This window comes from Homo sapiens, chromosome 10 (genome assembly GCF_000001405.40).
Source record: "Homo sapiens chromosome 10, GRCh38.p14 Primary Assembly".
NCBI classification, from domain to species: domain Eukaryota; kingdom Metazoa; phylum Chordata; class Mammalia; order Primates; family Hominidae; genus Homo; species Homo sapiens.
In genome coordinates this window covers 67,772,385-67,784,339 of record NC_000010.11, presented here as the reverse complement: position 1 = coordinate 67,784,339, position 11,955 = coordinate 67,772,385, and the positions used below count along the sequence as shown (strand labels likewise).

At 41.9% G+C, this 11,955-nt stretch overlaps 3 annotated features.

Annotated features, from left to right (window-relative positions):
- Positions 455 to 564: an enhancer, noted in NCBI's record as "active region_3455". NCBI's record gives its function as "activates an Ori minimal core promoter by ATAC-STARR-seq in GM12878 lymphoblastoid cells {active_cell/tissue: GM12878}" and the evidence as "EXISTENCE:reporter gene assay evidence [ECO:0000049][PMID:35858748]".
- Positions 4,077 to 4,126: an enhancer, noted in NCBI's record as "active region_3454". NCBI's record gives its function as "activates an Ori minimal core promoter by ATAC-STARR-seq in GM12878 lymphoblastoid cells {active_cell/tissue: GM12878}" and the evidence as "EXISTENCE:reporter gene assay evidence [ECO:0000049][PMID:35858748]".
- Positions 4,217 to 4,326: an enhancer, noted in NCBI's record as "active region_3453". NCBI's record gives its function as "activates an Ori minimal core promoter by ATAC-STARR-seq in GM12878 lymphoblastoid cells {active_cell/tissue: GM12878}" and the evidence as "EXISTENCE:reporter gene assay evidence [ECO:0000049][PMID:35858748]".

Below are 11,955 nucleotides of genomic sequence, written 5' to 3'. Positions count from 1 at the left end.
TCTCAGGCCATGTTTAGTTTGCTTTAACACTTGCCAAGGTCAGCTGTTTGTCTTGTTTATATCTTCCTTTCCTGCCTCCTTTTCTTCTTTCTCCTCTTGTTTTGATCTTGTCTTTGCTTTCTCTTCCCTTTTCTTCTTCTCTTCCTCCTCTTCTAATTTTCTTTCATTCAGTAAGCATTTATTGAATGTGCCAGGCACTGCGGTAGGGACTCAGGATAAAAAGATGAACCAATATTGCCCCTTCCCTCAAAGAGCCCATAGTTTAGTGGTGGACTCGGACATGCATGTAGATAATGACAGGGCAATTTGAGAAGTGCTATAGTAGAAACATGTTCAAAGCCTTATAGAGTTGTAGATAAAGGAGCAAGCCAACCTTGTGGGGGAGGAATCAGAGAGGTCTTCATGGAGGTATGGATATCTGTACTGGCTTTTGAAGAATGCATAGGAGTTCTCCAGGATGAAGAGCTAGGATGAGAGGCAAGAGGGTATTTTTAGTGGAAGGAACAGTGTGGAGGCTTCACAGCACTTACTGTGTTTGGAAAGTGAAAGTTTCTAGGTGGCTGATGTGTAGGGCATGTACAGTTGCACATTAGACTTCCTTGTTCTTAAAAGTCTGCCAGCTAGCCTCTCCCCACCACTGTTTAAGCCACCTCACCGCCTTTCCGCAGGCTCCTTTCACCGTGGCCTTGAGACTCCTGGATCCACCATCTTCTTCTTGGCTCCTCTCTTCACCTTACCTCTGCTGTCTCTCTTTTTCACTCCTTCCCTCCCACTAAGATCTCCCTCCATCCACTTTAAATTCCTATCATTCAGAGCAGTTCAGAAATCCTCAAACCCCCACTCCCACAGTCAATTTCAGTGAGTGAAGTAATCTAGTGTTCAGCTCCACCAGAGGGAGAAAAAAGATGCTGAGATTGTTAGCCCACCTCCTAGGAAGGTGGTTTAAATATCAGTGACTCTGAGGACCTTATTTGAATGCTGATTCAAACTGTTATAAAACCAAGATAATTTATGAGACAATGCAAATCTGAATACTGACTGGATATTATTGATCAACATTTTAAGGTGTAATAATGTTATTGTGGTTATGTTAAAACAGAGTCTTTATCTTTGGAGATAGATCAGATGTTTACAGGTGAAAGGATATAAGGTCTGAGGTTTGCTTCAGAATAACACAGGAGAGGAGGGGGAGTGGATGGGGATACAGATGAAATGAGATTGGTAGAGAATTGATGATTGTTGAACCTGGGAGATGGATACTTAAAAGGTTCATCATACTAGACTCTACTTCTAAATATGTTTGCATATGTGTTATGCTTGAAATACTCCATGTTATTGAATTACGTTCCCCTAAAAGGTAGGCTGAAATTCTAGTCCCCTCTCACTTCTGAATGTGACCTGATTTGGGAATGGGGTCTTTGCAGATGTAATCAAGTGAAGATGAGGTCATTAGTGTGTGCTCTAACCCAGTATAACTGGTATCCTTAGAGGAAAACCCCATGTGAAGACAGAGACACACGGGAGAAGGCCATGTGATGACAGAGGCAGAGACTGGAGTGATGGAACTGCAAGCCAAGGAATGTCAAAGATTGATGGCTGCCACCAGAAGCTGTGACGGAGCAAGGAAGGACTCTCCCTTTGAAGGAGCATGCCAACACCTTGAATTCTAGGCTCCAGAACTGAGACAATAAATTTCTTTTAGTTTAGGCCAGGCACAGTGACTCATACCTGTAATCCTAGAACTTTGGGAGGCCAAGACAGGTGGATTGTCTGAGCTCAGGAGTTCAAGACCAGCCTGGGCAACATGGTGAAACCCCACCTCTACAAAAAATACAAAAAGTAGCTGGGAGTGGTGACGTGCACCTGTAGTCCCAGCTACTAGGGAGGCTGAAGTGGGAGGATTGCTTGAGCTTGGGAGGTCGAGGCTGCAGAGAGCCGAGATTGCACCACTGCACTCCAGCCTGGGTGACAGAGCGAGACCCTGTCTCAAAAAAATGAATAAATAAAAAAATTTCTTTTGGTTTAAATTACTTAGTTTGTGGTTCTTTGTTATGGTAGCTCTAGGAAACTAATACACTCTATCATAAAAAATTAAAAAATAAAGATTAACTACTTTCCTCCCTTAAATTCTTTTTCTTCTTCTTTTTCTCTGCTTCCTCTAAATAATCTAAATACCTTTATTATGTGTAGGTACCTAATAATCTAAATACCTTCATTATGTGTCCACTTTGGGTATGATTCTCTGTTACTTTTTTTTTTTGAGACAGGGTCATAGCTCTGTTGCTCAGGCTGGAGTGCAGTGGTGCAATCATAGTTCTCTGCTGCCTCAACCTCCTGGATTCACTCAATCCTCCTGCCTCAGCCTCCCAAGTAGTGGGGGCCACAGGCATGCAACACCACGCCCAGCTAATTTTTGTATTTTTTTAAAAAAATAGAGGTAGGGTCTCATTATCTTACCCAGGCTGGTCTCGAACTCCTGGGTTCAATAATCCTTCTGACTTGGCCTCCCAAAGTGCTGGTATTATAGGCATGAGCCACGACACCCAGCCTGCTCTGTTACTTTGAATAAGGAGGATGATACAGAACTGAAAATCCAAAAGTGAGAGGTTGAGGGGCAGATAAGGAAAGAGGGATTCTTAGAAAACTAGACAAAGGCATAAACAAGAACCTTCAACTCTACACAGCCTCACCAGGCCTCTTGCATGTCCTGAATAAGCCATGCTCCTTTGAGCCATTGTTAGTTCCTCTCGGGGTCATGAGACCTGGTTTTTGGTCCTAGCACTGCCATTTTCTAACTCGGAGATGGTGGACAAGCTGTTACATATAGAAGACTTGTTTTCTCCTCAGGAAAGTGAGGGAGATGAGTTACATGAGGAAGCCTTCCTTACTGCTCTTACACTGGCTTGGGGGCTCCTTCAGCCAGCACCTGCTCTAGCGTGCATCACACTGTCTTGTCCTCTGCTATCATCTGTGGCTATGGCAAGCCTGGGAGCTCTCCGAGGTAGGAAGTGTATTGTTCACCACAGGATCTCCTCTCTGAGCACCTGGCCTTGTAATGTAGCAGATGCTTAATGAAAGTAGCCAACATAACCACATTGTATTTATGGTAAATCTATGCAAACATTTGGTAAAAATTCTCTTTCAGAGGACTAGAGAAGAAGTCATACATCTGTGTGTATCTGTTTTAACTCTTTACTCTGGGCTCTGCTAGGGACTGTCCTTCCACATTCCTATTTGGAGATCAGTCTCGGAGACATCCCCCTCCTTACTCCCAGCACCAGGGCTTCCACCCTATCCATGCTATGGCGTTGGTTATACATTTGCTGCAATGCCCAGAACTGTGCTGAGGACAACTAAAGTGCTTGTCCAGGTTAGACTTTGTGCTTTTTAGTGCTGAGGGTTAAACTTTACAACTGGTTTCAGAGAGGAAACAAGAAAGTGACACAGTACAATGGGTGTTTAACAAGAACTTGGAAGAAGGATTTTTCTTTGCTCAAGGGAAGACATCAGCACTCTAGATATGCATGTACAGTTGAAGCCCTGGAGAAAAATGAGCCTGGGAAGCACTTCAAACAAATGCATGCTGGTTTCTTGAAGGCATGGAATGAAATTTTTCCTTAGGAGTGATTCCATTTCAGAAAAAACAAGAATTTCAGGATGCAAAGTTACCCTATGATAAATGTATAATCTGATATTATAGTGATTTTAGCAGAGTGTACATCAAGATTTTAGCATTTGGGCAAACTTGTCTTACAAAAAGCCCAGCCCTTTGGGAGGCCGAGGCAGGCGGATCACTTGAGCCCAGGAGTTTGACACCAGCTTGGGCAACATGATGAAACTTCATCTCTACAAAAAATACAAAAATTAGCCAGGCGTGGTGGCACGTGCCTGAAGTCCCAGCTACTCAGGAGGCTGAGATGCAGTGAGCTATGATTGCGCCACTGTACTCCAGCCTGGGCAACAGAGCAAGACCCTGTCTCAAAAAAGTAAAATAAAATAGAAAAACCCCCAGCCATCTCTTTACTAGGTGATTTCTAAGATCTAAGCTTCTCTGCTTAGAATTTTTTATTCTACTTTCAAAGCTTCCCAAAGTAGGTTCTACCTAGATGAAAAGTTGATAGAGGACATGATAAGGAAGTGTAAAGGTTTCTCCTCCCCCACAAAATATTTACATGATCTCCAGAAAAAAATCTTCACGTCTGTAAACTCTGGTCACGTTTCTTTAGATGGCCACAAGATGGCAGCATTGGGCTAATAGTAGCAGAAGACTCCACCTAGCAAGCATTTCCAAGTAGCTGTGATGGTGCAAAAAGACTCCAGATCTGGTTGTTTCTATAACTCTACGGTGTGGTCTGCTATTATTGTTGTCCACTGCAGACATTTCATGAATAAAACCTAGCGGGGCTTGAAGATATCTTAAACAATCTAGCAATTCTGCAATTGCCCAGGCCAGTGCTGTCAGTGCAGAAGAGAAATACTTTTGTTCCCAAAGGGAATATGTGTGTGCCAAGAATCTGAAACTTTTTGCTATCTGAAAGCATTGTGGCCAGAAGTAAGATTGATGTGGAAGCTTAGATGAACATTTTAGGATGTTATGAAATAGGTGATACAACACTGAAAATATGTTAAATATCACTAAATGATGTTATAATGAATTGTCACTAGATGGTGGCCTTCAACAAGGTAGGGATATGTCTGTTTTGTTGACCACCATATCCTTAGCATACAAAAATATTGCCACAGTCTGGGCATGGTGGTTCATGTCTGCAATCCCAGCACTTTGGGTGGCTGAGGTGGGAGGATTGCTTGAGCCCAGGAGCTCAAGACCAGGCTAGGCAACACAGTGAGACCCTCCACCTCTACAAAAAAATTAAAATATCAGCCAGGCATGGTTGCATGCCTGTATTCCCAGCTACTCAGGAGGCTGAGGTGGGAGGTTCACTTGGGTCCAGGAGGTTGAGGTTGCATTGAGCCGTGATCACGCCACCGCGCTCAGCCTGAGCAACAGAGTGAGACAGTGCAGTGGCATGATCATGGCTCACGGCAGCCTCAGCCTCAACCTCCTGAGTTCAAGCCATCCTCCCCCTTCAGCCTCCCTCGTAGCTGGGACTACAGATGTGCACCACTGCACTCCAGCCTGGGTGACAAAGTGAGACCCTGTCTCAAAAAAAAAAAAAAAAGAAAGAAACGTTTCTATACACTGATTACCTTTTCTACCACCAAATCATGATCTTACAGTTTTTTCCACAATGATACTTTTGGAGAATGGGCTGAGAAGGAGCTGTTGCTGGGCTATATTCCCCTTCTCCCTCCTCCCAGCCTCATTTCCCCTGCCACCTCGAATATTCTCAGTATAGATATGCTTTCTATTTCAAGGATCTATACTAGTTTCCCAAAGTGTGATCAGGACAGCACTGCATCTTAGTTGTTTAAAAAGTGTAGATTCTTAGGCTCACCCCACATCTACTGAATCAGAATCTCCAACAGTGAGGTCCAGGGATTGTGTTTTTAATAAGCTCTCTTAGGTGATTCTTCTAATGTTTGAGAATCTCTGATGAAGAAGAACCTTCTACAGCCTTGGAGCCTGGTGGGTCGAGGAAGATACTTCCTCAAATAGCCTGTAAGGTAAGAAAAGAGTGAGGAGTGAAAGTTTAGACCACAATAGACACATATATCTCAGAATCAGTCAGTCAAGCCTAGCTACCCCTAATATCTCCCAAAGTGGATTCTGAACCATTACACTGTCAATGAGGAGCAGAAAGTGATGGGAATTAATTACTGTTATCTTTCAGGTTGCATTTTGCTTTGTATCAGTTATTTTTAATGCTGGAATGTGGGGCAAGTTGGGTAAAATGGGGAAGGGGTAGATAAATCTTAAAATCTAACAGAGTTATAAACTTTCCAAAAAGCAGATATTAAGACTATATATCCTCAACTTGAAATTTATTAGCCTCTTTCCTTTTAAATTACTATCTTACTACTGTGGTGCTCAATTGTTTCAGTAAGGATGCTCCCAAGAATCAATTTCAGCTGCAGTTTTAGGGCCTAATAACTGATTTGGTAGAAAGTTAGAAAGCCAGAAATTGAATAGCAAATTCAATTTAGTGGCAACTAGTAATCAAAGAAAAGCAAATTAAACAAAACTGAGTGTGTTTGCCTAGTAAATTAGCAAAAAATAAAAAAGGGGAAAAAAAGCTGTAAGCGATAATACTCAATGTAGACAAGGGTTCCATGATTCCAGTTTTCTTATACATTCTTGGTGGCCCTAAACATGGGTATAATTCTTTAGCAATGCAATTTGAAATACATATTTAGAGCCATAAACATGTTCATATCCTCTGCCTTAATATTTGCATTCTTGGAACTATAGATCTAGGGCTAAAGGAATGACACGAATTATGGAAAAAAGCTTGTATCATAAAGATACACATAACAACATTACATGCAAAGAAAAAAAGAGTTTAAGTGTGCAACAGTTGATTTCTTAAATTTGATGCAGCTACTTTGTAGTCTACTATAGAGCTGTTAAAAACAATGATTATGTCTCCAGAGACAGAACCAAAAAGGAAAAATAAAAAAAAAATCATGATTATGAAGACAAAGGAGCAGCAAAAAGTCCATAACTTTAATGAAAAATACAAAATATATGATGTTATCTTTTGTGCATCTCTGTATGTTTGAAATAGTCAATGATTTAATGATTTAATTTGTAATTTTGTAATTCTTATTTTTTGAAATGATTAGATATAGAATTAAGAATTTTTTTGGTGGGGGCTGGGGGCAATGGCTCATGCCTATAATCCCAGTGCTTTGTGAGGCAGAGGCAGGAGGATCACTTGAACTTAGGAGTTACAGATCAGCCTAGGCAACATAGCAAGATCCCATCCATGCAAAAAAGAAAAAAATTAGCTGGGCATGGTAACGCATGTCTTTAGTTCCGGCTACTCTGGAGGCTGAGGTGGGAGGATGGTTTGAGCCCAGGAGCTCAAGGCTGCATGCAGTGACCTGTCATTGTGCCACTGCACTCCAGCCTTGGCAATTTTTTTTTTTTTTTTTTGAGACAGGGTCTTGCTATGTTACCCAGGCTGTACTGAAACTCCTGAACGCCAGTGATCCTCCCACATCAGCCTCCTGCCTTAGCCTCCTGAGTAGCTGGGACTATAAGCACATGCCACCATCCCCCTAATAATTTAATTTTTAATGTAACCATATATTAGACAATATAAATATAGGAAAGATCAATGTGTTAAGGTGCTGGATTACGGATGATTATTTTCTCTGTTTCCCAGGTTTTTTGTAAGTCCGAGTCCCAGCTATCTCCTGTTTGTCTTTCCAGACCCACTCCGTGTCCTGTTCTCAGACACAGAGGCTGAGCAGTTGCGTTTGGCCAACAGGGAGGCCTAACTGGGGAGCAGAAGAAGGGAGATGAGTGAGGTGGTATATTACCACCCCAGCTCCCTCCCAGAAGGATCACCTTGCCCTGGTTGTGTCCTCTTTAGCAATGCAATTTAGGAGTATATATTTATTCTTCCTCAGGGGCAGCCCTAGCCTCAGAACTTTCTCCTTCAGGAATCTGGTGGCTGCCCTCTCCCTTCTTAGGGGTGATGGCAGCTCAGTGTCCCTTGTGGTTTCTTTATACTCTCCCTATACCTTTGTAGTCTTTTTATTAAATCTGAATAGAATTGTTCTAAATTGACAGTGCTTTCTGTTTCCTGCTGAGGCCCTGACTCATATAAGAAGTCTGATACTTTTATATTTTAAAAAATGTAGACAGCATCCACCAGAACCTGTGACATTGCAGCCCGAAGAGTCATGACAAGAAAATGTTACAGCTTTGTGGTAGATTTTAGCTGGAAAGATGAAAACCTCCCTATTTCCCCAGTAGCCAAACATTACCCCCACTGAGAAATCCTCAAATGTAGTAGTAATAATAATAGAGAGTAAAAAAGAGCAACTAAAAAACTGAGATGTGAAGATACAGCCTAGCCGGTAACAGGTTGGATGTTTTATAGAGACAATCTTGAGAAAAATGGTTTGAGTGTTATTTTTTAAAAAGAAGCTTTAAAAGCAGTGGGAGAAAAAAAAACCCAAAGAATAATTCAGAAAGACATACTACTTGAAGGTATTGCCGATGTATTAATATGTGCTAGAAATAAGTGGCTCAGGAGGCATCAATATGCCTCAGCCCTGGTCATTTTTCAAGCCTGGATGAATGTAAACCAAAATCAAATAGTCACAAGTAGATTTGAACGATATATTGGCTAATTTTTGTGGCAAAAGCAGGAATAGGAGAAGCAGTAGATAACAGCATCTCTGAGCCTTTTTGACTGCATTTTAGAAATAAATTGGTTTCCAGAATGAATGTACCTTCAAGTCGGTCTTGCAAAGGAGTTGGGATTGTGTCATGATATACATGTAGGTATTGAAAAAAATTCATAGTTATACATCTCACCCCTGAAAGGTTCTGCAAGCAGAAGCAGGAACTGAGAGTGGGTCTCATGGATCTCCCACCCCTCTCTTGCTTTATAAATGACCCTTGCTACTCTGCAGGGAAGGCTCCAGACCTACTTTCTCTGTAACTCCAGTCATTATCTGTCCCTCTTCTGAGCCAGAGGCAGTGAGTGTTACACCCAGAAGGTATTTGAGTTAGCAGAGGCTATGGTCACAGAAATTATGACTGGAGCATCTTGAATTGTTGGTAAAAAATTCCAGGAAGTCCAGTCTTTCTGGGGAGCTTATGGAGCTAAGGAGAAGGGAGAGGAGACAGAAATAGTAAAGAAAGGAACAGTTTCTAAGAATTGACTCATTTGAGAAGTCATAAGGTAAAGGAATACTTTTCCTTCCGGCTCTTTCTTTTCCCAGGAAATGGAATAGACTGAGGTGGGAGTGAGTGTGCTTCCTTTTTCTAGGGTATTTGCGTAGGCTGTTTTTCTAGGACTGCTGGACTGTAGTGATTTCTTGTGCCCAATTCCTGATACCTGAACAAAGGGCTGACCCCTTCTAATTCTGGATGACTTGGGTTAAGATTCCTGCTTTAGAAAATCTCACATATACAAGAGTTTTTTTTTTTTTTTTTTAGTAAGCATTTGTTTTTGGGAAATCAAAAGATTAGAAACAACTTTAATGGTCTTCAATAGGGATTTGGTTAAATAAATAATGATCTATTTATTCTGAGGCAGTGAGCTCTACCTGCAGCTGGCATATGAGTTAGCAGAGGCCACTTTTAATGAGCCAACTCTTCATACAGAAAGATAGTGTATACCTTTAAATAACAAAACCAGGGTTCAGAACATTTTGAATAATATGCTAACATTTGTGTACAATATGTATGTTCTTGTATGTGCATAAAGAATACATTGAAATAAAAAGTGAGAAACTGATAACTGATGGCCTTTGGGAAGGGGACCTCGGTGGAAGGAGGACAGGGGTGAGAGGGAGCCACTGTGATTTTTGAACCATGAGAATATATTACCTATTCAATAAGCAAATTAATATTATTTAATAACAAAAATCACTGCTTTGTCTTGCCATGAAATAAGATTCTTGGTGTTTTAATTCTTGACTGTTTTTCTAGTATACCTAGCTTTTCTGGAGTATTTCTTTTTCTTTTTTAATTTTTTTGAGACACGGCCTCGCTCCATCGCCCAGGCTGGAGAACAGTGGCGTGATCTTGGCTCACTGCAACCGCTGCCCCCCGTGGTTCAAGTGATTCTCCTGCCTCAGCCTCCCAAGTAGCTGGGACTACAGGTGCCCGCCACCACGCCCGGCTAATTTTTGTGTTTTTAGTAGAGATGGGGTTTCATCATGTTGGCCAGACTGGTCTCGAACTCCTGACCTCAAGCCACCCGCCTGCTTCAGCCTCCCAAAGTGCTAGGATTACAGGCATGAGCTACCATGGCCGGCCTTGGAGTATTTGTTGAAAATGAGACCAAACATAAATTAGTTATTGCTTATATATATTTAAATTTATTTGTGTGTATGTTCTTAAATCTATGTGTGTGCATGTGTGTGGAGTGTGTGTGTGTGTGTGTGTGTGCATGTTGAGGAGTGTGTATGTTCCAGGAAACCATTAAGGACTGGAGAAGTTTCTAGCCAAGGATGTCAATATGTGAAAGGACCAGAAATTGCTATTCTGTTCTGTGGGAGTGTGTAAGGCAGCCTAACTTGTCTTATGGAGTCATGCTGGGCAGTAGTATGAGACAAAGTTGAAAAGATGTTAGGGCCAAATTATGAAGGGCCTTGTGAATGAAACTGGGAAGCTTGGCCTTTACTCTGCCAGCCACCTACTGGACGTCTGCGGGCAGGAGAGAGTGGTGGTCAGAACGGTGTCTAGAAAGAGGCCATGGTGGTTGGGCATGGTGGCTCACGCCTATAATCCCAGCACTTTTGGAGAACGAGACAGGCAGATCACCTGAGTTCAGGAGTTCGAGACCAGCCTGGCCAACATGGTGAAAACCTGTCTCTACTAAAAATACAAAATTAGCCGGGCGTGGTGGTGCATGCCTGTAATCCCAGCTACTTGGGAGGCTGAGGCAGAAGAATTGCTCGAACCTGGGAGGCAGAGTTTGCGCCACCGCACTCCAGCCTGGGCACCAAGTGCAAAACTCCTTCTCACAAAAAAAAAAAAAAAAAGAGGCAATGGTGATGGTGACTAAACAGCCTTACGCAGTCCAGGGATGCCAGGAGAGAAGGCTCCTCCAAGTCTTTCCTTTCAAGGATAGAATATCTCATATTCAGGGGTCATTGACACATATCATGCAGTTGATATATATTTTTTAAAAAGTGTTCAGAGCTGAATCTGGAATGATGAATGTTACACAGGCTGGGGAATTATATTGTAAAACCAATCATGAGCTATAATAGGCACCAAAAAAAAAAAAAAAAAAAAGGCCTAGATCAGAGAGAATGTCAGAGCAGCTGCTGTTAGCCTCTCAGAGATGGCCTCATGCAGTCCCAAACACATCCTCAGCTAGAGTCAACTCTGGGCAGCTTTGTACATCAACTCCCAGGGAACTTGTTCCTCCCTTTATCCAGCTCAGAGAGACAAAAGAGCAAAGAACATTCCACTCCTTCAATAACATGAGTCAAATGGCCTTTTTTTATCCCTGTCCAGTGGCTCCCTTGAGTTGGTTGCAGATACCTCTATGAGGGACCCATTCTGGTGAAAAGGGGAAGAGAATACCAGCATGTGATCTCATCTTCACTTCCTCATCTATAAACTAGCTGTGGTCTGTTTTGGATGTTAAATGAATGAACACTCATCACAGTGCCTGACCTGTGGTTAGAACTTAGAAAATGGCAGTGACTGCTGACAATGCCATGAGGTAGAAGTAATTATTATTACCACTTAGTGGATAAGGAAATTAAGGCTCAGAGAGGTTATGCAAACTGCCCAAAGTTACATAGCAAGAAAGGGAAGGAGCCTATATTTGATGCTTGGTTGCTCTGACTTCAAAGTCTCTGTTTTTCCTATTCCTTCAAATTCTTCCTATTCCTTCAAATTACTTCACAAATAAACTTGCAAACCTGGTTTCAGGTTACATCTTAACATGCTCAAGGGCTGAAAAGCTTTGTTTACAACAGCAGATACAGTACTAACTACAGAGAAAGGAGAAACTAGGTAAGCATTTCCAGGACCTGCACCCCATCTGCTGTCAAGTGGAGCAGACAATCCCAGTGTACATGAGAGGATTCTGGAAGGATTTGGGCCATTCTGATGTACTGAGATAAAATGATCTTAAAAAACATTCATGTCCTTTCTTGGTATCTTTGTGTTAATGGAAATAATGAGATTTCTTGGATGTGTATAAACCAGGAAGAACTAGTGAAACGTCAACCAGCCTCTTGACAGTGTCCCACTTAATGATATCTTCACAGTGATAACCTGGGAAGAACTTTTTTTATTATAGTGAGGAGAGTCCTCTAGAGCAGAAATAAACTATAGCCACAGGCCAA